The sequence below is a fragment of the Homo sapiens genome, chromosome 3 (genome assembly GCF_000001405.40).
Source record: "Homo sapiens chromosome 3, GRCh38.p14 Primary Assembly".
Taxonomy (NCBI): Eukaryota; Metazoa; Chordata; class Mammalia; order Primates; family Hominidae; genus Homo; species Homo sapiens.
Window position 1 is genome coordinate 36,971,666 of NC_000003.12, and position 23,611 is coordinate 36,995,276.

The window sequence follows — 23,611 nt, forward strand, 5'->3', positions numbered from 1 at the left end:
CCTGAGCTCAGGAGTTCAAGACCAGCCTGCCCAACATGGTGAAACCCCATCTGTACTAAAAATACAAAAAATTACCTGGGCATGGTGGCGCGCACCTGTAGTCCCGGTTACTCTGGAGGCTGCAGCAGGAGAATCGTTTGAACCTGGGAGGCGGAGGTTGCAGTGAGCCAAGATCGTGCCACTGCACTACAGCCTGGGCAACAGAGTGAGACTCTATCTCAGAAAAATAAAATAGCTGGGCGCGGTGGCTCATGCCTGTAATCCCAGCACTTTGGGAGGCTGAGGCGGGCGGATCACGAGGTCAGGAGATTGAGACCATCCTGGCTAACACGTGAAACCCCGTCTCTACTAAAAATACAAAAAAATTAGCTGGGAGTAGTGGCGGGCGCCTGTAGTCCCAGCTACTCAGGAGGCTGAGGCAGGTGAATGGCATGAACCCGTGAGGTGGAGCTTGCAGTGAGCCGAGATCATGCCACTGCACTCCAGCCTGGGCGACAGAGCGAGACTCCATCTCAAAATAAATAAATAAATAAATGAAATGAAATAAAATAAAATAAAATAAAAATAGCCAAGTATAGTGATACACATCTGTAGTCCCAGCTACTCAGGAAGCTGAGGTGGGAGGGTCACTTGAGCCCAGGAGTTCAAGGCTGCAGTGAGCTTTGAGCGTGCCATTGTACTCTCCCTGGGTGACAAAGCAAGGCCCTATCTAAAACAAACAAACAAGCAAACAAAAAACCCCAAAACTGGAACTCTGTATCTATTAAACAGTAATCTCTCATTGAGTGGTGTTAAGAGTAAAATTTTTTTTAACAAAAGAAAAAAGTAAAAAGTAAATTTTGAAAAAAGAATTAAAAACAAAAAATCTCCATTACCCCCTCCCCCAGCCCCTGGCAACCACCATTCTACTTTCTGTCTTTCTGAATTTGACTACTGCACATAACCTTATATAGGTGGAATCAAACAGTATTTGTCTTTTTGTGACTGACTTATTTCACTTAGGATAGTGCCCTCAGCTTTTAAAAGGAAAGACATTTTGATATATGCTACAACATAATATTCCATTGTATGTACATACCAAATTTTATTAACGATTTCATCTGTCAATGAACATTTGGGTTGCTTCCACCTTTTGTCTATTGTGAATAATGCTGCCGCGAACATGTTTAAGTCCTTGCTTTCACTTTTTTGTGTATACACCCAGAAGTTGAAATGCTGGATTATATGTAATTCTATTTTTAATATGAGTGACTGCCATACTGTTTTCTATAGTGGCTGTACCGTTTTACGTTCCCACTAAGAGAACATGAGTGTTCCAGTTTCACCATATCCTCACCAACACTTATTTTCTGTTTTGTTGGTGGTAGCCATCCTACTGGATGTAAACTTTATTCATTTTTCGAACCTTTTTAATATGGAATTTTCAAACACACACAAAAGATGAGAGATCTCCAGGTACCCACCACAAGCTTTAATAATGATTAACATTTGGTAGCAGGTGGACAAAGATATACCTTCTCTATAGCAGCTATAAGATCAGGGACAAACAAAGATCTATTTGGAACTCCAACTAAGAATGGTGTTTTGTAGGCTGCCTGATGAATAAGGTTAGATAACTAATGGCCAGTCTTTCAGCCTGTGCTCAAGGGATAGGATAACAATAAAGCATAGTTGGTGAAGGAGCAGCAGATAAAGGTCACAATAGATAGGCCATAAGAGAACCCTCACTATCACTTACCATTCAGACCATTCGCTTCATATTCTAACAAGTTATTTTCCTTTCATAAAAGGAAGCTGAAGCTTTTATTTGTGTTTGTGGTGCATGTGATCCATGAGAGGGGACTCAACCAGGTGCTATGTGTGAGTAGTACTTAATCCGACAGTATTAGTGGGCTGGTGGGCTTTCCTGGTTACATGGGAACCCTAGAAACCCAAGCCAAGCACAAAAGCCAAGACTGAATTCTCCAGTAAGTCACCTGGTAGCCTTGACATGCTCATGCTTAAAAAAGAGCCAGTGACCTATTAATAGGAAGCTCCTGAAATGAGTCCTCTGAACATCTGCAAGTATGGTCAGCTACACCTGAGCTGAGACTTGCCTGTTTCCCTGCCAGGAAATCATGGGCTCAGAAATGGCAGGTACCATGTGTATTAACTATATTTCCTTACTTTCTGTCTTCTTGATGTTCTAGCATCAGGTGCCTCTTTGACCTAAGAGACTTCCCCTCCTAGGACTAGCTAATTCCTAGAAATATCAAACCACTCCCCTGTAAGCATGCCATTCCTATGCAAACCAACCAATCCAGAGCCCATACTCGAAACCACTTCCTTTACCTGGCTCTTCCACACCAGAGGGCAATGTTCCTCTGTCCTAATCATTCTCAGGGCTAGATATCAGATAACTACAAATGCTCCTTGACTTATGGTGGGGTTACATCCTAATAAACCCATCATAAGTTGAAAATATCATAAGTCAAAAGTACATTTAAATCAGGTGTGGTGGCACATGCCTGTAGTCCCAGCTATCTTGGGAGGCTGAGACAGGAGGATCACTTGAGGCTGTGGTGCACTATGATCATGCCTGTGAATAGCCACTGCACCCCAGCCTGGGCAACAGAGTGAGACCTCATACCTTAAAAAAAAATTAAAAAACAAGCTCTCACCAGTCGAAGATGAGGCAACATAAGCAATAAGCACTAAAAAGAATAATGACTGCAAACCAAAATAAATAAGAAGATAAAAGTCCACAAGTTTATAAATAAAAGGTTTTATTTAAAAGCCCACAAGTAAAAAAGAGGAGAGAAACGCTAACTCCTAACTCTGAAAATTAGTAATTAAAGGGAAAGAAGCCTTCAACAATTTTTTTTTTTCTGAGACAGAGTCTTGCTCTGTCACTCAGGCTGAAGTACAGTGGCATAATCACAGCTCACTGCACCCTCAAACTCCTGGGCTTAAGCAATTCTCCTGCCTCAGCCTCCCAAGTGGCTTGGACTACAGGTGTGTGCCTCCACACTCGGCTGATTTTAAATGTTTTGTAGAGATGGGGTCTCACTATATTGCCCAGGCTGGTCTCCAACTCCTGAGCTCAAGCAAAACTCCCACCTCAGCCTCCCAAGTAGCCAGGGCCATAGGTGTGCACCACCATGCCCAGCTAATTTTCCTTTTTTCCATTTTGTAGAGATGGGCTCTCGCCATGTTGCCCAAGCTGTTCTCCAACTCCTGAGCTCAGACAATCCTCCCGCCTCGGCCTCCCAGGTGTGAGCCACTATGCCTGGCCAAAAATTTTTTAATGAAGTCCCCCTGGGTCCAGGCACTGGTTTGGGCACTGAAGATTCAGCAGTAAAGTAAAATAAATTTCCTCATTGATCTTGTCAGTGACTCCTTTGCATGCTTGCTTCACACTATATTTCAAGGTAACCAAATAGTTGTAGTTAGAAAAAGTTCCATCTTACAGAAAACTTTCAGCTAATAAATGTAGAGGGAATGATAAAGTTAGAAAAATAACTATATTTTAAGTCCTAATGAAACAACAGACCCACACAACAATGACCAACGGATGAAAAATATCAGGTGAAACACTTATACGGAACCTGTCAGTGGCAAGATTGGGCTGTAACCACCTGAAACCACTGACCAATCTCGGCATTACTAAAACAGGGCTGACCAGATAGTCTGTGATTCTGATGTAAAGCAATAAGGAGTACATAGCACCACCTTTTCAGTAGCCAAAACAGTTAAACCTGAATCTAATCAAGACTTTAGAATTACCTTTACGATTGGATGAAATATGGAGAGCAGAAGAACAAATTCAACAGCACAAAAAGGAAGAAAACAGATAAATCTAGAGTGGGCCACGTTCTACAAAACTGAGCTGGTTTCTTGGTCAAGACAATAGCATGGAAAAAAATGGGAAGTAGGCAAAGAGACTCCTCTGGATTGAATGAAATTTAAGAGACACAATAGCCAAGTATGATGTGTGGACCTTGTTTGGATCTAGATTTGAAGAAATCGATTGTAAAAAGTAATTTTTGAAAACAAATAGGGAAATCTGAATATGGGCTAGGCATTAGTTTTTACCAAAGAATTATTATTAGGTGTGATAATGGTACTGTAATTACGTAAGATTGTAATTATTTATATTGTTTTTAGAGATAAAAATAAGACCTTCAGTGCTGAAGAAGGGCACAGTGGCACATGGCACAGCACAGCATCTACATCATCAGTCAAATAAGAATTTTTTTTTTTTTTTTTGAGACAGAGTCTCGCTCTGTCGGCCAGGTTGGAGTGCAGTGGCAAGATCTCGACTCACTGCAACCCCTGCCTCCCGGGCTCAAGCAATTCTCCTGCCTCAGCCTCCCGAGTAGCTGGGATTACAGGGGTGTGCCACCATGCCCGGCTAATTTTTTTTGTGTTTTTAGTAGAGACGGGGTTTCACCATGTTGGCCAGGCTGGTCTTGAACTCCTGACCTCAGGTAATCCACCCGCCTCGGCCTCCCAAAGTGCTGGGATTATAGGCGTGAGCCACCGTGCCCGGCCCAGTCAAATAATTCAAGGCAGCTGTCAGGCTAAAGTTCGGCGAGCGACACGCGGCTGGGCGGCGGGAGGAAACGCGGGGCCGGGCCGGGCGCTGGAGATGGTCCCCGGCGCCGCGGGCTGGTGTTGTCTCGTGCTCTGGCTTCCCACGGCTTCCGTATCCATGATTATTTGTACTTTCAAGTGCTGAGTCCTGGGGACATTCGATACATCTTCACAGCCACACCTGCCAAGGACTTCGGTGGTATCTTTCACACAAGGTATGAGCAGATTCACCTTGTCCCTGCTGAACCTCCAGAGGCCTGCGGGGAACTCAGCAGGTTTCTTCATCCAGGACCAGATCGCTCTGGTGGAGAGTGGGGGCTGCTCCCTCCTCTCCAAGACTCGGGTGGTCCAAGAGCATGGCGGGCGGGCCGTGATCATCTCTGACAATGCGGTTGACAATGACAGCTTCTATGTGGCGATGATCCAGGACAGTACCCAGCGCACAGCTGACATCTCCGCCCTCTTTCTTCTCAGCCGAGAGGCTACATGATCCGCCGCTCCCTGGAACAGCCTGGGCTGCCATGGGCCATCATTTCCATCCCAGTCAATGTCACCAGTATCCCCACCTTTGAGCTGCAGCAACCGTCCTGGTCCTTCTGGTAGAAGAGTTTGTCCCACATTCCAGCCATAAGTGACTCTGAGATGGTAAGGGGAAACCCAGGAATTTTGCTATTTAGAATTTGGGAATAGCATTTGGGGACAAGTGGAGCCAGGTAGAGGAAAAGGATTTGGGCGTTGCTAGGCTGAAAGAGGGAAACCACACCACTGACCTTCCCTTCCCCAGGGCCCCCAAGGGTGTCCCAGAAGAGGTAAGAGACAGGCCCCAGGGCTTCTGGATAGAACCTGAAACAAAAGGTGCTGAAGGTAGGTGGCCTGAGAGCCATCTGTGACCTGTCACATCTCACCTGGCTCCAGCCTCCCCTACCCAGGGTCTCTGCACAGTGACCTTCACAGCAGTTGTTGGAGTGGTTTAAAGAGCCGGTGTTTGGGGACTCAATAAACCCTCATTGCCTTTTTAGCAATTAAAAAAAAAAGGCAATAAAAGGCATAATATAGGTTTTAGAAATTTATATTTATAATGGGTTTGATGTACAATAAAGATACATTAGTTATTAAACAAGGTATAAAAATACTCAATTCAAGGATATGGAAAAATAATGAAAAAAATAAGAAAATAGGAAGAATTAATTTTAAAAAGCAGAAGTCAATGAAATAGAAAATAATAATACTGATATATAGGCTGGGTGTGGTGGCTCATGCCTGTAATCCCAGCAATTTAGGAGGCCAAGGCAGGAGGATTGCTTGAGCCTAGGAGTTGGAGAACAGCCTGGGCAATATAGGAAGACCCCATCTCTACAAAAAATTTAAAATCAGCCAGACATGGAGGTGTGCGCCTGTAGACCCAGCTGCAGGGGAGGATCACTTGAGCCCAGGATCCTGAAGCTGCAGTGTGCCATGTTTGCACCACTGCACTCCAGCCTGGGTGACAGAGGGAGACCCTGTCAGGAAGGAAAGAAGAGAGGAAGGAAGGAAATAATAATAATAATATATAAATGCAGGAATAAATTCTTTTAAAAAGACAAAAATAATCTGTGGTGAGCCTAATTAAGAAAAAGAGAAAGCCCATGAGAGAGGGAGCATAACCTGAGATACAGAGAAAACAAAAATGCTAAAAATAACTCAATAAATTTGAAAACCTTAATGAAAAACTCCCTAGGAAAATTTGTTAAAATTGAAATTAATTCAATATGTGTAAGATAGAAGAAATGGAAAAGTTGTCAGAGAACTACCTAAAGTGAAGCTGGGTGCGGTGGCTGACACCTGTAATCCCAGCACTTTGGGAGGTTGGGGGCGAGAGGATCATTTGAGCTCAGGAGTTCAAGACCAGCCTGGGCAACAGGGCAAAAACCCCATCTCCACCAAAAAAAAACATTAAAATTAGCCGGGTGTGGTAGAGTGTGCCTGTAGTTCCAGCTACTAAGGAGGCTGTGGTGGGAGGATCACTTGAACCTGGAGGTCAAGGCTGCAGTGAGTTGTGATTATCCCACCGCACAGCCTGGGTGACAGAGTGAGACCCTGTCTCAAAAAAACCAAACCAAAATAAACCGAAAAAAAAAAAAAACCTAAAGTGACACCATCCTCATTCTTTCTTAAAAAATGAATTATTGGCCGGGTGCGGTGGCTCACGCCTGTAATCCCAGCACTTTGGGAGGCCAAGTCGGGTGGATCACGAGGTCAGGAGATCGAGACCATCCTGGCTAACACGGTGAAACCCCATCTCTACTAAAAATACAAAAAATTAGCTGGGCGTGGTGGTGGACACCTGTAGTCCCAGATACTCGGGAGGCTGAGACAGGAGAATGGCGTGAACCCGGGAGGCGGAGCTTGCAGTGAGCCAAGATCATGCCACTGCACTCCAGCCTGGGCGACAGAGCAAGACTCCGTCTCAAAAAAAAAAAAAAATTATTTTACTGATGTATAATAGGTACACATAGATTTGGAGTACATGGGATTAATAAAGTTCAAATTGGTGTACTTGGGACATCCATCACCTTAAATATTTGTCTTTTCTTTACACTGGAAACATCCAAGCTATTCTCTTCTAGCTACTTTGAAATGTACAAGATTACTGTAAACTATCAAACACTAGGTCATATTTCTTCTATAAAACCATATATTTGTATCAGTTGATCAACTTCTCTTCCTCGTCTCCTCCTGATACCTTTCCTGGCCTCTGGTAACCATAAATCTACTCTCTATCTTCATGAGATCCAATTTTTTAGTTTCCACATATGAGTAAGAGCATGTGATATTTGTCTTTCTGTGCTTGACTTATTTCATTTAGCATGATGACCTTTAATTCCATGTTGCTACAAATGACAGGATTTCATTTTTATGGCTGAATAATATTCTATTTTGTATATGTACCACATACACATTTTCTTTTTCCTTTTCTTTTTTTTTTTTTTTTTTTTTGAGATGGAGTCTCGCTCTGTTGCCCAGGCTGGAGTGCAGTGGTTCCATCTCGGCTCACTGCAAGCTCTGCCTCCTGGGTTCATGCCATTCTCCTGCCTTAGCCTCCCGAGTAGCTGGGACTACAGGCGCCCGCCACAACGCCCGGCTAGTTTTTTTTGTTTTGTTTTTGTTTTCTGTATTTTTAGTAGAGATGGGGTTTCACCGTGTTAGCCAGGATGGTCTCGATCTCCTGACCTTGTGATCTGCCCACCTTGGCCTCCCAAAGTGCTGGGATTACAGGCGTGAGCCACCGTGCCTGGCCCACATCCACATTTTCTTTACCTATTCATCCGTTGATGAGCACTTTGATTCCATATTTGAGCTATTGTGAGTAGTGCTGCAACAAACATGAGAGTGCAGATACCTCTTTCGTATACTGATTTTCTTTCTTTTGGATATACACTCAGTAGTGGAATTGCTGGATCATATGGTAGTTCTAGATTTATGAAGAAACGCCATACTGTTCTCCATAGTGACTGTACTAATTTACATTCCCACCAACAGTGTACAAGGGTTCCCCTTTCTCCACATCCTCACCAGCATCCGTTATTGCCTGTTGTTTTGATAAAAGCCATTTTAACTGGGGTAAGCTGACATCTCATTGTAGTTTTGATTTGCATTTATCTAATGATTAGTGATGTTGAGCACTTCTTCATGTACCTGTTGGCCATTTGTGTGTCTTCTTTTGAGAACTGTCTATTCAGATCTTTTGTCCATTTTTAAATCGGATTTTTTTTCTATTTGTTTGAGCTCCTTGTATATTCTGGTCACTAACTCCTTGTTAGATGGGTAGTTTGCAAATATTTTCTCCTATTCTGTGGGTTGTCTCTTTAGTCTGCTGATTGTTTCCTTTACTGTGCCGCTTCTTAGCTTGATGTAAGCTCACTTGTCTACTTTCGCTTTGGTTGCCTGTGCCGTTGAGGTCTTACACAAAAAATTTGCCCAGATCACTGTCCTGAAGAAGAAACTGTCTCCAGTTTCTTCTAACAGTTTCACATTAGAGTTAAGTCTTTTTTTTTTTTCTTTAAGACAGAATCTCGCCCTGTTGCCCAGGCTGGAGTCCAATGGTGCGATCTCGGCTCACTGCAACCACAGCCTGTGGGTTCACGCCATTCTCCTGCCTCAGCCTCCCGAGTAGCTGGGACTACAGGTGTACGCCATCATGCCTGGATAATTTTTTGTATTTTCAGTAGAGATGGGTTTTCACCATGCTGGCCAGGCTGGTCTCGAACTCCTGACATCGTGATCTGCCCGCCTCCGCGTCCCAAAGTGCTGGGATTACAGGTGTGAGCCACCGCGCCTAGCCCAGACTTAGGTCTTTAATCAATTTTGATGTGATTTTTTTTTTTGTATGGTGAGAGATAGTTTAGTTTATTTCTTCTGCATATAGTTATCCAGTTTTCCCAGTAACACTTACTGAAGAGACTGTCTTTTTCCCATTGTATATTCTTGGTACCTTTGTCAAAGATGAGTTGGCTGGGTGGATTTACATGAGTTCTCTATTCTGTTCCATTGGTCTATGTCTCTATTTTTATGCCAGTACCATGCTAATTTGGTTACTACAGCTTTGCAGTAAATTTTGAAGTCAGGTAGTGAAATGCCTTCAGCTTTATTCTTTTTGCTCAGGATTGTTTTGTCTATTAGGGGTCTTTTCTAGTTCCACATAAATTTAAGGATTTTTTTTCTATTTCTGTGAAGAATGTCGTTGGTATTTTCACAGGTTTTGCATTGAATTGGTAAGCTGCATTGAGTAGAATTGCCATTTTATTTGAGACGGGGTCTTCACTCTGTCACCCAGTCTAGAATGCAATGGTGTGATCATGGCTTACTGTATGATCATGGTTCACTGTAGCCTTGACCTTCACTGGGCTCAAGTGATCCTCCCACTTTCAGGCCCTCAAGTGGCTGGGACTGCACGTGCATACCACCACAACTAATTTTTTTTAATTTTTTTATAGAGACAGGGTCTCACTATGTTGCCCAGGCTGCTAGTGACCCTCCCACTTTGGCTTCCCAATGTGCTGGGATTACAGGTGCGAGCCATCGCATTCAGCTATCATTTTAACAATAGTAATTCTTCCAGTCCATGAACATGGAATCTCTTTTGTGTGTTTGTGACCTCCTCAACTTCTTTTATGCTTTATAGTTGTCCTTCTATAGATCTTTCACTTCTTTGGTTAAAATGATCCCAGGTATCTGCAGCTATTGTAATTGGGACTGCATTTTTTTTTCAAATTTTTCTCTCTTGGTGTATATAAATATTACTGTTTTTTGTATCTTGCAATTTTACTAAATTCATTTATCAGTTTTCTTTTTTTTTTTTTGGTGAGGTCTTTAGGTTTTTCTAAATATAAGATCATGTCATCTGTGAACAAGTCTAATTTGACTTCTTCCTTTTCCATTTTTTTCTTTTTTTGAGATGGAGTCTCGCTCTGTCACCCAGGCTGCAGTGCAGTGGCGCCATTTTGGTTTACTGCAACTTCTGCCTCCTGGATTCAAGTGATTCTCCTGACTCAGCCTCAGGAGTAGCTGGGATTACAGGCGCCCGCCACCATGCCTGGCTAACTTTTGTATTTTTAGTAGAGATGGGGTTTCACCATGATGGCCAGGCTGGTCTTGAACTCCCGACTTCAGGTGACCCACCTGCCTCAGCCTCCCAAAGTGCTGGTGTTACATGTGTGAGCCACCGTGCCCGGGCTTTCCTTTTCAATGTTGATGCCCTTTTTAAATTTTTCTTTTCTAATTGCTCTGGCCAGTCCCATTCCTTTAGAAATAAGGGTGTTGCTCTGTCACCCAGGCTGGTCTCGAACTCCTGGGCTTAAGTGATCCTCTCACCTCAGCCTCCTGAGTGGCTGGGATTACAGGCATGCACCACTGTGCCCAGCTAGTTCCATTCTTTTCAGATAAATTTTTTCAAATCCTCTAGAAACAGGTAATATTTGTGCTTTTTAAACAGTTCAGAATACACACAAAATATAAAATGTTTCTAATATTTATTATATATCTAACATATTGATAATCTAATAGAATTCCAGATTCCTAAAGGATTTCTGTATAAGCACTGAGAGATAACCTGTCTTAGCCATTGCTAGTCAGAACCAAAGAAAATACCATGAAGATTCTGAGGTCTTCCACCAAAAAAAGTTTCTTAAAAGAAATGGAGGCATGAAGGCAGTCAGGTAATGACAGCAATGACAGAATGAGAAAAGTACTGCAACAGTTCAAAAAACTGCTTTTTCTTCCTGGTTCTGCTACATAATTCAAGATAACTTTAACCACCTCTCTGGGGCCCAATTTCTTTACATTGCAAAGAAGTTATGGACCCTTTAATACTCAGTTCCACAAATTCTGACTCAGAGGGTTCAGTGAGAACTCCAATAATTGGGAGGCAATAAACTCACTGGATAGCTTTGAGTAAGACGACTTTTGGTGTGCCTGTCAGTTCATATCCTCCTATAAAGTCTCTAACCTCAACCCATCCCAACCACAGGCCTGGGGGCCTGTAGCTATGTATTATGGATCCTTTTAGGAAAAAGTATCTTGCTAGTCACAACTATGTTCTCCCTTGAAGAAAAATGAGCAGGTGAAGCTGCTGTTCAGACAGAATGAAGCGGATGTGCAAAGGGACCACAGACAACCATCACGGTAGGAAATACCGCTTGCTTTACTGCTGAATCTCCAGTGCCTAGATCAGTGCCTGGCCCTAGCAGGTTTTCATCAAATAATTATTGAAGGACCACTGAATTTCATTCCCTCATGTGGTTTCCATGAGATACTTCTGTATTTCTCTAATCATTCAATTATTCCTCCCCCTTAAGCTAGCACAAGTTTCTTTCTTACAACCAGAAAGCCCTTCCAAATACATTATGATATTCTCCCCTTCATAGCCACCACTTACTTCACTACAGGTATATGTCAGACCTCAGGAAAGACACCACCGAAGACTGGATCACATGTCCCCACTCAGGAATACAGAATTGGCACATGAGATTAGGTCAGTTGGTCAGCAGCACTAAAGGTGGTGATAGACACCAATGCAGCGCATAAAGGCTGGCCGGCAGGCGAAGTGATAAGAAAGCAGACACAAACAGGAAAGTAGACAATGGTGGTTCTGAGACATCCCTATATTTTCCTGCTATGGACTGAATGTTTGTGTCTCCCACACCCCCATTCATATGTTGAAATGCTAACATCCAACAGTATTTCGAGGTGGGGCCTTTGAGAGGCAACTAGTTCATAAATGTGGAGCCCTCATGATGGGATTAGCGCTCTTGATTGTGATGGTTTCACACATTTATGTCAAAACCAATCAAATTTTCTACTTTAAATACGTGCAGTTTCTTGTACTTCAATTGTATATGAAAGTTGTAAAAAATGTGGAGAGTTCAGTTATTAACTGATTTCAGTTAGAACAACCAATAATGTACCAATAATGGTACAACATTTAAGGAGGTCCCTTATGACTGTGCTATTTTGGACTTAATATCAGTACTTACTGATTTATTCCACTGCTTTCCCAACTCCCTTCACCCTCTGCTCCCATAAAAGTGAACAATTATGAATGTCATAACCAAATTGGTAAATTCGGGCCGGGCATGGTGGCTCATGCCTGGAATCCCAGCACTTTGGGAGGCCAAGGCGGGTAGATCACTTGAGATCAGGAGTTCAAGACCAGCCTGGCCAACATGGTGAAACTCCGTCTCTACTAAAAATACAAAAAATCAGTCAGGCGTGGTGGTGCTCGTCTGTAGTCCCAGCTACTTGGGAGGCTGAAGTAGAAGATGAACGCAGGAGGCAGAGGTTTCAGTGAGTCGAGATCTCGCCACTGAACTCCAGCCTGGGTGACAGAGCGAGACTCAAAAAAAACAAACAAAAATTGGTAAACTCTAATTTAGAATTAGTAGAATTAGGAGGTAAGATCTTACACATTCCTCAAATTTGTCAAGATTTTGCATTTTAATTTCTAAATCCCTTCCAGGAGTTAAACATCAGTATAAATTGGGGTAACTGATTTAACATAAACCAGTGTTATAGCTTATGTCAAAACTATCTACTTAGATTACAATCTCTTTTAAGGACAAGGCCACATCATTAATTTTGATTCCCAAGTTTACAAGCACTATGTCTAGTACAGAGGAGAGTGAGAAGGAACAGGGAAAGGGATAAAGGGTATGAGGTAAGATGGTAGGAAGAAAAAGGGTATGTGTGCAGAGTATGTGTGGGTGCAGAGTATGCAGGGTCTCGTAGGCCATGATAGACATTGGACTTTAGTCTGATTGTGATACAAAGCCATTGGTGATTTTGAGCAGACAAGTGGTATGGTCTGATTTATATGAATATACACACATACACACATATTTTGTTTTGCTTGAGACGGAGCCTTGCTCTGTCGCCCAGGCTGGAGTGCAGTGGCATGATCTCAGCCACTGCAACCTCTGCCTCCTGGGTTGGAGCGATTCTCCTGTCTCAGCCTCCTGAGTAGCTGGGATTACAGGCATGCACCACCACACCTGGCTAATTTTTGTATTTTTAGTAGAGATGGGGTTTCACCATATTGGCCAGGTTGGTCTCAAACTCCTGACCTTAGGTGATGCACCTGCTTCGGCTTCCCAAAGTGCTGGGATTACAGGTGTGAGCCACCGCGCCTGGCCTAATTTATATTTTAAAATAAGGATCACTCTGAATGCTATGTAGAGAATAAACTATATGAGGAAAATATAGAAGCAGGGTACATACCAAAGAGTATGCCAAGAATGGGTGCACATGCTCACTGAAAGACAGATGTGATCATTTTCATAGTAACTTTATTCATAATGACCACAAGCTGGAAACAACCTAAATTTCTATCAACGGTAGAATGGGTAAGTTGTGATGTAGTCACACAATGGAATACTACACAGAAGTAAAACATGAACTGCTACTACATATAACATGGATTACTCTCACAGATACAATGTTGAACAAGACACGGAAGAGTGCATATAATTATTTCACTTACATAAAGTTTTAAAACAGGCAAAACTAATCCGTGGTGATAAAAGGGGTTGGTGGGGGCCTGGGGAACATAAGGACACCTACTGAAGTGCTAGAAATATTCTATATTTTGACCTGGGTGGTGCATTCAAGGGCATATATAAAAACCCACTGAGGTGTACACTTAATATCGGTACACTTTTAAATTTTACCTCAGTAACAAGTTGAAAATATATTGGAAGAAAGCATATAAATGAAGATGTTAATCAGTGGTGTTGTCTTCCAAATATTTCTGGTTTTTCTCCCAGGTATATGCAAGGATCACACTCCTCCTAGAACTTTAATGTGGCTATGTGATTTGCTTTGGCCAATGAAAGTCCTTTAAGAGTCCTTAAGTGATTTGCCATACTCTTTTTTCATTTCCCAAAGTTAGCACCCACACTCCTGATGGTATCTGCTTTGTCAGCCTGAGACCCAGAATGAAGGCAACTTAGAGCACAAATTGGTGAACTTTCTCTGTAAAGGGCCACAGAATAAGTATTTTAGGTTTTGTGAGATGTACACACTCTGTAGCAACTACTCAGCTGTGCCATTGTAGAACCAAAGTAGCCACAGATAATAAATAAATGGACAAGGCTATATTCCAGTAAAACTTTATTTAGATAAATAAGGAGCTAGACAGATTTTGCCCATGGACCATAGTTTGATCATGGCCAACCTATGATCTAAACCAAAGTCCCTAGGCAAGTTGCAATAGAAAAGTTGTGTGAGACAGTGAGATTTTGCCTTTGTTATTCAATGGCAAGCTAGCCCATGCTGACACAGAAATTGGTCCCTTGTTTTTTAAAATGCTAAAATACTGAACACTGGCTTAATGGTTAGCTGGCAGGCATTCAGGAAATTGCTATCAGAAGATGGAAGAAATAACTTACACAAGGGTAATTTATATTATGGAAAGGTGAAACTGCCCCTTGAGATAACCTGAAAGGCAGATCATCTACCCTTTACTAAAGAAAAAGACAGAAAAACAAAATATTTTGTAGTTGCTGTTCACTGCACTTGACAAAACGTACAGAAGAGATGAACTCAGAAAAGACTGGTCAGTTTGCAGGCAAAAATGAAAAGGAAGAGAATTCAAATTCAAGTACTTACTGGGTAGGATGAGGCAACATTTTAATATCAAAAAGAAAGATAAAAATGGGAAATCCTTTTACAAATAAATAAAAAGAGAAATCCTTTAGCCAAAAGGTTGATTAAAAGCCAGTTTTGCCGCCGGGTGCAGAGGCTCACACGTATAACACCAACATTTTGGGAGCCCGAGGCGGGCGGACTGCTTGAGTCCAGGAATTCGAGACTAGCCTGGGGAATACAGCAAGACCCTGTCTCCACATAAAAATACAAAAATTAGCTGGGTGTACTCGTGTATACCTGTATTCCCAGCTACTTAGGAGGCTGCAGTGGGAGAATTGCTTGAGCCAGGAAGGCAGAGATTGCATTGAGCTGAGATTGTACCTCTGCACTCCAGCCTGGGTGACAAAGTGAGACCCCGCCTCAAAAAAAAAAAAAAAAAAAAAAGCCAGTTTTGCAGCAAGCACCAAATCACTGGATGACTATGACACCTACTGTTAAGATCTCTGAATGACTTAATATGCCTCAGACTAAAACTCCAACTAAGATTATACTAGTTAATCCCATAAATTGGTCAAAATGGCTTAAGGAAACAGACTAAGGGTGTGGCTTTCCCACCTAAGCCTGAAAAGCCTCAGTTACCCAGAAATTAAGTTCAGAGAGGCATGGGAACAAGAAGGCAAAGGAATACAGCAAACTTTAGAAGTATACATTAACTAGATGTCACTTTTGGGTCATCTCCCTTTGGGTGATAAGGACATTCTGCAGGTGTAAAAACAAGTGAACTGAATATATAGTGACCAGAAGGGCTGAGTCAGTCTTCTACTTTGTTAAATTTACTTACTTTTAAATCCCAGAAGAGCCAAAAATCATCTGTAAAGGAAAGTAGCAAGTAAATAGCATGCCATTTTCTCCTAGTGTTGATGCCTACAAAAGGAAAAATGATTATTAACTCTTAGGCGGCATTATCTTTTTCCAATACTAAATGTAACATTTAGTAAAAACATATTGTTTTAGTTCACTAAGTAGTTGTCTAATCTTTTCCCTCTATATGTAGGTTCCTTTGGAAATTTAAAAAAAAAAAAAAAATATATATATATATATGACACTGTTTACAAAGGGTAAAAAAAAATAAGATTCTATACATGGATATGCAAACTTAATATTACATAGTGGATTTGGTGTGTATATTTGGTTTTGAATCCTGAGTTTACTACTTACTGTGTTTACCAGGGAAAACCGCAATTTGTTATCCTTCTCTCCTTTCATACAACAGAGAAAACCACAATTTGTTTAACAGTCACATAATACATATTTAAGTCACATGCTAAGCACTACACTAAATTCTGAGAATACAACGAGGTCCCTAGTTACAAAGAACTTGTCTTCATTTTTCAATTAGTAATATGTGGATAAAAGTTACCCAATGGACAGTCTAAGGCAGAATGACTGTGAAGGTCAAATAAGACTGTGAAAGAGCTTCAAAAATTGTAAAACACTACACAAATATTCGTTTGTCCAAACATTTATTGAAATGCCAGGCATTGTGCTAAGCACTAGAGATATAACAGTGAACAAGGCTTATATGGTCCCTGCCCTTACAAAGCTTACAGTCTAGCAGTGATCAATAAGCAGTAACAATAAAGTGTGCCAAGTGTATGTCTGGGAAAGAACAGGGTGTATAGGGAATGGATAGTAAGGGCACCTAATCTAGAGGGCATCAATGAAGGTTTCCTAGATGAAGTGGCATACTGAGACCTTAAAGATGAAGATAAATTTGTATTGTACCCTAAGAGCAATGGTGAAAGCAATGCAGTGACATGATCAGTAAGTCTTTTGGAGCAATTTGGTTGTAGTGTAGAAAGGAATAAAAATAAAAAACAGGGAGACTAATAAGGAGGCTGTTGCTATAATTTAGGTAGGTTGATGGCCTGAATTAAAATGGCAGCATTGGAGAATTGGTAAAAAGGACAAATGAATGGTTGGTAGTGGTAATGCCATTTAGTCAAAGAGGAAACATGAGAGGAGGAGCAGGATTGGGGGCAAGATCAATGACATGTAGTGCCTGAGACAGCAAAGAGCATTTGTTAGCAATTAGATACATCAATTAGGGAAGATCTAGAAAGGAGATATGAATCTGACAGTCATTTGCATATAAATGGTAAGGAAACCATGGAAGGAAATGAGATCAGCTAGCGAGCTGACACAGAACAAGGCAGTCTAAAACAAATTTTTTTAAAAATACGAAGAACAGATATTGAAGGGAAGAGGTGCCTGCAAAGACTAAGAAAGCACACCTGGAGATGGTATCTCCTCAAAGCTAAAGTCATCAAGTGTTCAAGTGTTTCAAGGAGGGTAAGACTATTAACAAGGACTTAGCATAGTAGAGCAATTTGAGTGGCAATACGGGACACTGGGAATACAAATCTGTCAAGAAAACTAGTAGGAATGAGCTATAGGACAGTAACTGGTAAGGACCTAATAATTTTTTTTTTAATGTACGTATTTTAACTATATTCACTGCTACAACAGGACCAGTAACAACTATATTTATTTAAAAAAAAAAAGACTGCCATGCAGTTACAGAATTACTTAATACAGAAAACAGTAAAATACACTTTTTTCTTTTTCTTTTTTTTTTTTTTTTTTTACAAACAAGACTAGCTTATAGCAAATTCTCTATAGCTAAGGGTCAATTTAAAATCCTTGGCTTATATCTCCCCCTCACTCAATGACTACATGATGCAAACTAATTTTATTAACACCTTAAGCAAAACATACTGGAATTTCACAAAATGTACAAGATTTCAATATTTAAGGAACTGGGGTTAGAAAGCAGAAGTGGCTTTCAGGTCTTCCAGTCTTTCTCTCAAGTAATAAAGCTCTGCTGTGAATATTCAAAGCTATTGGGAAATTACCGGTAGATTTTTCTGTTTTTTTTTTTCGGTTTTCCACTATGTTGTTTCTCTAGATATGTAAGCTTACTCTATTAACCAAAATCTCAGCTTGACCATTCTTGATAAGTACCTAATCGACATGTAACTTTTTTTCTGCCTTAAATATGTATAACAGGACAGAGCCCTTAAATCTGATTCAATTATTAATTCCTGATTTACAAGTGCTATGGTGAGCTAACAGAACTTATCAATGCCTTTATTGCACTTTACTAGCCAAATTTAGAAGGTTGGAATTAGTCTCTCCTATCTAGTATTCTGTCAGTTTGCCCAGCTTGTACTTTTAATTTTGCTTCTAATGGTAATCTGCCCTATCCCTTGAAATAAAATAATCTACATTTTGGGAGGGCTAATTCTTCATTGTGCCAGGCTGTCCCATGCACTGCAGGGGTGAGTGTCTTTAGGCTTAAATGCCAACAGAAGCCCCTAGTAAATATGACAACCAAAAAAGTGCCCCTACACATTTCTCAGCATCCTCTGGAATGACAGGTTACTGCCTCTAGTTGAAAGCCACTGGCACAACTTTGGTTTTTAAGCTCTTATGCCATTTATTTTAATTGCCCAGACATCAATTCCACCTAAATTCTTAGTCATAGCCTGGTTCCTTGAATTTGCTGGATTAGTAACCACAGATTAAGGTGTTTCAATAGTTAAGACAGGACTTTGGAACAAGAGTTTTTAAATTGTATAATACTTGAGAGGATCTATGAATATAAATTGGGTCCTGTTTATAATTAGTTTTACATAATGAACTTTAAGATTGCCTTTTCATGGTGAACAGAAGTTTGGAAATTACTGTTTTGGCACAAAGCAGATTATCTTAGTAGAAATACAGAATTACTGCAATCTGTGAATAAGACTGCTTTTAAATATTTCTACTTGTGTGCTATCTTACATATAGAATGTGTACGACAGTTCCAAATTTTAGAATAAATCCATTTCTAGCATCTAACAAAATCTGATACTGTATCATTTTAAAACAAAGTGTTTACTTTAGGCAGGATTTTTTAAAATAAAGCAGCAATACCCACGCAGATAAGACAAAAAAGCTAAAATATCTCACACCTCCTAATCCTGGAGTGCAATCTTTTTTCCTCATCGTTTTTGATAGGGCCAAACTTGTGTCTACAGTAAAAAAAAAAAAAAAAAGAATTACTAACTGGCAACCATTAAGATTCTATACTTACCATAGTCCTTTAATAGGCAAGCTGATAAAATAGCCCCCAGTTATTAAAAAAAAAATCCAAGGAAAACCCCCAATAATTAGTCTTATCTCCAAATTGCATGAAGTCTCCTATATCTGAAACTTAAAAATGATTCTAATGACTTCCTCTATCAGTAATGTGTTATCACTGAGGTGGGTGATGGGGAGGGAAGAGGGAAGAAATCTGTCAGTATTACCTTCGAACTCAGAAATGTTTAAAAAAAAGTCTCAAACATTTTGATGGTTAGACAAAACACCTCCACTGTTATGTATGGGCTTCCTTTTTGGAAACTTATGAACTTGCTATGTGAGCTTCTGCAAATTGGTTCAAAAGCACATTTAAGGAGTTGATAATTTAAGACTATATGAATCAGAATTTTAACACTCCATTAAAATAAGAGCTGAAATTTTTGGCATTTATCTTCAGAACACCTAAAAAACAGACTGCAAATTCAACTCACATTAATACTAAATCTCTTTAAAATTAACTATATCATAAAAGACAATGACTTTGTCACTAAACTAAGTTTTAAAAAAGGTGGCATTCTCATGTTTCAGTCCCATGCTGCCATTTGAGATGAAAAAAAAGGCAACTGTCAGAATTTTAATTGTGATCAGTTTGGACGGCTGGTACTTGGTACTTTCTCACAATCCAAATTAGTAAACTTGAAAACTCAAACCAATTTTTGCTTTTAGAATTAAATTCTTGTTGAGTTTTTCAATCTTGTACTACAAAGCCTTATGGATTAGATTCATTTCTTTCTCTCACAAGGTCATCCCAACCGGGCTCCATTTCAGTTGTGGCAACCCGAAACAGGGCTTGGAGATGCTCATCTGTTAATGGCTGACTCAAAGTGTGTTGGTTTCGAGTCAAATATGAAAAAGCCTTTTCACAGATTTGGTTACTATCAAACAAGGATGCCACCTTACAGGCAACCCCTTTGATAATTGGGTAGGATTCAGCAGACAATCCAGCATAAAACTGCCCCAAGTCTTTGATTCTGTATTCATTCCAAAGATTAGTGTTTGCCTGAAGTTTTGTTAGCTCCACCCTCACTGAAATAGGTGCATATTCAGGTTTAAAGTTAAATGGATTTGAAAAAAGTTCTAAGTCCTTTTTAATGAACCTGAGGTCCTTAAAATGTCTCTCAAATTCTTTTTGGAGACGACAGATCACCATTTGATACCTATCAGGATCAAATATTTTTTCATCTTCCTTATTTTGCTGTTTTAGCTCATCAACAACTTCTCTGAGGGCAGGAAAGTCTGTTAGATTTTTTTCCTCAATATGTCTTTGAAATAAATTCAGCTTAACTTCGAAAGTACAAATATGGTCAAAGGCAGCAGCAGCAAAGACTTTACTAACTCGTAATTCTTCACTGAGTTCTCGAAGGTGTTCCATAATGTCCACCAAGAAGCCAAAGTCACAAAGCCATTGTTTGTCTGAGAAGTGGACTGTTGTTGCCCCTACTGAAACCAAGAACGCTTCCATTTCTTTTCTTAGAGAGAATATTAGTTTTAAAGTTTTCCCTCTCCTAAGCCAATTGTTCAGACATCGTCCATTAACCCTTTCACCATGCTCTGATTCAGATTCCGTTAGTAAAGTCTGAAATTCAGGTCGCCTAACGCCTCTGGTCTTAATCAAAACTATCCATTCGGATATGGTATTTATGATCTGATTAACATCTACATCATAGGAGCTCAACAGTTCCAAGTGAAGAAATCCTGAATAATGAATGACATTCCAACAGTTGGGGCTTACGGCCTTTTCTCTCATGTATGAGACGAGTCCTGAGTTCTCACCAATCATCCTCAAAGTATGGGTCGTGGTCAGTCCAACCATTCTCTGCAAGCTAAGCCCTGCTGTCTGCAGGGACTCTAGGATTGCCGACATGAGCGCACCAACACTGAAATGATGAGTCAGGTTGATTATGGTCAGAAGATCTTCTTGCACCTCCAACTCAGGGCCTACACCGCGGATAAAGACCAGGAGGTAGTTCTCATAGGCCACAAAAGCCTGGTCGTCCAAGGCAAGAGAATAGGCTTTAAAGTCCCTGGCTCGGTTAAAAAGCTGGTTGCGTAGATTCCTGTCAATGCTCAGGATCCTCTGCCTTGTGATATCTGGAGATAAGTCAACGCCTTGCAGGACGCTTACATGCTCGGGCAGTACCTCTCTCAGCAACACCTCCATGCACTGGTATACAAAGTCCCCCTCACCCCAGCCGCGACCCTTCAAGGCCAAGAGGCGGCAGAGCCCGAGGCCTGCACGAGCAGCTCTCTCTTCAGGAGTGAAGGAGGCCACGGGCAAGTCGCCCTGACGCAGACGCTCCACCAGGGCCGCGCGCTCGCCGTCCGCCACATACCGCTCGTAGTATTCGTGCTCAGCCTCGTAGTGGCGCCTGACGTCGCGTTCGCGGGTAGCTACGATGAGGCGGCGACAGACCAGGCACAGGGCCCCATCGCCCTCCGGAGGCTCCACCACCAAATAACGCTGGGTCCACTCGGGCCGGAAAACTAGAGCCTCGTCGACTTCCATCTTGCTTCTTTTGGGCGTCATCCACATTCTGCGGGAGGCCACAAGAGCAGGGCCAACGTTAGAAAGGCCGCAAGGGGAGAGGAGGAGCCTGAGAAGCGCCAAGCACCTCCTCCGCTCTGCGCCAGATCACCTCAGCAGAGGCACACAAGCCCGGTTCCGGCATCTCTGCTCCTATTGGCTGGATATTTCGTATTCCCCGAGCTCCTAAAAACGAACCAATAGGAAGAGCGGACAGCGATCTCTAACGCGCAAGCGCATATCCTTCTAGGTAGCGGGCAGTAGCCGCTTCAGGGAGGGACGAAGAGACCCAGCAACCCACAGAGTTGAGAAATTTGACTGGCATTCAAGCTGTCCAATCAATAGCTGCCGCTGAAGGGTGGGGCTGGATGGCGTAAGCTACAGCTGAAGGAAGAACGTGAGCACGAGGCACTGAGGTGATTGGCTGAAGGCACTTCCGTTGAGCATCTAGACGTTTCCTTGGCTCTTCTGGCGCCAAAATGTCGTTCGTGGCAGGGGTTATTCGGCGGCTGGACGAGACAGTGGTGAACCGCATCGCGGCGGGGGAAGTTATCCAGCGGCCAGCTAATGCTATCAAAGAGATGATTGAGAACTGGTACGGAGGGAGTCGAGCCGGGCTCACTTAAGGGCTACGACTTAACGGGCCGCGTCACTCAATGGCGCGGACACGCCTCTTTGCCCGGGCAGAGGCATGTACAGCGCATGCCCACAACGGCGGAGGCCGCCGGGTTCCCTGACGTGCCAGTCAGGCCTTCTCCTTTTCCGCAGACCGTGTGTTTCTTTACCGCTCTCCCCCGAGACCTTTTAAGGGTTGTTTGGAGTGTAAGTGGAGGAATATACGTAGTGTTGTCTTAATGGTACCGTTAACTAAGTAAGGAAGCCACTTAATTTAAAATTATGTATGCAGAACATGCGAAGTTAAAAGATGTATAAAAGCTTAAGATGGGGAGAAAAACCTTTTTTCAGAGGGTACTGTGTTACTGTTTTCTTGCTTTTCATTCATTCCAGAAATCATCTGTTCACATCCAAAGGCACAATTCATTTTGAGTTTCTTTCAAAACAAATCGTTTGTAGTTTTAGGACAGGCTGATGCACTTTGGGCTTGACTTCTGATTACCCTATTGTTAAATTAGTGACCCCTCTTAGTGTTTTCCTGTCCTTTATTTCGGAGGACGCACTTCGAAGATACCAGATTTTATGGGTCATCCTTGGATTTTGAAGCTTATAACTGTGACAAAAAATGTGAAGGGAAGAGATTTGAAACATGTGGAAGGAAAAGTGAGTGCAGACTATAAACTTCCAAAAAGACAAGCCCAAAATACACCTAAACGTTATGTCAGATTATTTTGTTAAAATCAGTTGTTAGTGACGTCCGTACGTTAATAGAAAAAAGAATGCTTCAGTTTGGAGTGGTAGGTTTCTAGAGGGATTTATTGTGAAAGTATAAACTATTCAGGGCAATGGGACTGAGAGAACAGTGGGTAGAAAGGACCACTGAAGGAAAGGAAGAGAATTGGAAGGTAGATGAAAGAAGGAGCAAGAACCTGGGGATGTTTTTTCCTTTTCACTTGTAATAGTAGTAACAGAAGCAATGGCAGACTGGCTTTTGTTTCTACTGTGTTAGAATGAATTGACAGGACAACTGGGCCTATTATTGTACTGTGCCAGAATACTGTAAAACAAAACTAAACATACTAGCTTGGTGGCTTGTAATTAATTACTTAAGTGGAGATTTTTATTTTTTTTTTATTTTTTTTTTAGACGGAGTCTCACTTTGTCACCCAGGCTGGAGTGCAGTGGCGCGATCTCAGCTGACTGCAACCTCCTCCTCACAGGTTCAAGGGAGATTCTCCTGCCTCAGCCTCCCGAGTAGCTAGGACTATAGGCATGTGCCACCACACCTGGCTAATTTTGTATTTTTAGTAGAGATGGGATTTCTCCATGTTGGTCAGGCTGGTGTCAAAACTCTCGATCTCAGGTGAACCGCCTGCCTCAGCCTTCCAAAGTGCTGGGATTACAGGCGTGAGCCACCGCGCCCTGCAGTTTTTTGTATTTTTAATAGAGACAGGGTTTCACCATGTTAGCCAGGATGGTCTCGATTTCCTGACCTCAGGTGATCTGCCCGCTTTGGCCTCCCAAAGTGCTGGGATTACAAGCATGAGCCACCGCGCCCGGCTCAAGTGGAGATTTTTATATGGAGTCCAGTTA

General features: G+C 41.8%; 2 protein-coding genes and 1 pseudogene across 28 annotated transcripts in view, besides 7 other annotated features; 2 read left to right on the forward strand and 1 right to left on the reverse strand.

The window, feature by feature from the left end:
• PRADC1P1 (protease associated domain containing 1 pseudogene 1) lies at nt 4,557–5,574 on the forward strand (annotated as a pseudogene).
• Nucleotides 13,378–21,466, reverse strand: EPM2AIP1 (EPM2A interacting protein 1). Its single transcript, NM_014805.4, has one exon. It carries the CDS (start codon nt 21,410–21,412, stop codon nt 19,589–19,591), a length of 1,824 nt encoding a protein of 607 aa, NP_055620.1. The 5' UTR covers nt 21,413–21,466; the 3' UTR covers nt 13,378–19,588.
• Nucleotides 19,581–19,630: a silencer, noted in NCBI's record as "silent region_14196". NCBI's record gives its function as "represses an Ori minimal core promoter by ATAC-STARR-seq in GM12878 lymphoblastoid cells {active_cell/tissue: GM12878}" and the evidence as "EXISTENCE:reporter gene assay evidence [ECO:0000049][PMID:35858748]".
• Nucleotides 20,637–20,716: an enhancer, noted in NCBI's record as "active region_19669". NCBI's record gives its function as "activates an Ori minimal core promoter by ATAC-STARR-seq in GM12878 lymphoblastoid cells {active_cell/tissue: GM12878}" and the evidence as "EXISTENCE:reporter gene assay evidence [ECO:0000049][PMID:35858748]".
• Nucleotides 20,747–21,066: an enhancer, noted in NCBI's record as "active region_19670". NCBI's record gives its function as "activates an Ori minimal core promoter by ATAC-STARR-seq in GM12878 lymphoblastoid cells {active_cell/tissue: GM12878}" and the evidence as "EXISTENCE:reporter gene assay evidence [ECO:0000049][PMID:35858748]".
• Nucleotides 21,187–21,536: an enhancer, noted in NCBI's record as "active region_19671". NCBI's record gives its function as "activates an Ori minimal core promoter by ATAC-STARR-seq in GM12878 lymphoblastoid cells {active_cell/tissue: GM12878}" and the evidence as "EXISTENCE:reporter gene assay evidence [ECO:0000049][PMID:35858748]".
• Nucleotides 21,801–23,611, forward strand: part of MLH1 (mutL homolog 1) — a 57,381-nt gene continuing 55,570 nt past the window's right edge. For 14 of the 27 annotated variants that reach the window (NM_000249.4, NM_001354628.2, NM_001258271.2 and 11 more), the window contains exon 1: nt 21,853–21,998. In NM_000249.4, coding sequence (NP_000240.1) covers nt 21,883–21,998 — 116 coding nt within the window. In that variant the 5' untranslated portion in view covers nt 21,853–21,882. Of the gene's footprint in view, nt 21,820–21,852; nt 22,275–23,164; nt 23,289–23,611 lie in introns of those variants that run through there. The other 13 variants (NM_001258274.3, NM_001354618.2, NM_001354622.2 and 10 more) reach the window with 5 other exon arrangements.
• Nucleotides 21,907–22,126: an enhancer, noted in NCBI's record as "active region_19672". NCBI's record gives its function as "activates an Ori minimal core promoter by ATAC-STARR-seq in GM12878 lymphoblastoid cells {active_cell/tissue: GM12878}" and the evidence as "EXISTENCE:reporter gene assay evidence [ECO:0000049][PMID:35858748]".
• Nucleotides 21,907–22,554: a biological region, named in NCBI's record as "H3K27ac hESC enhancer GRCh37_chr3:37035199-37035710".
• Nucleotides 22,043–22,554: an enhancer, noted in NCBI's record as "H3K27ac hESC enhancer chr3:37035199-37035710 (GRCh37/hg19 assembly coordinates)". NCBI's record gives its function as "activates a minimal SCP1, AML or CMV promoter by ChIP-STARR-seq in primed H9 embryonic stem cells {active_cell/tissue: H9 hESC(primed)}" and the evidence as "EXISTENCE:reporter gene assay evidence [ECO:0000049][PMID:30033119]".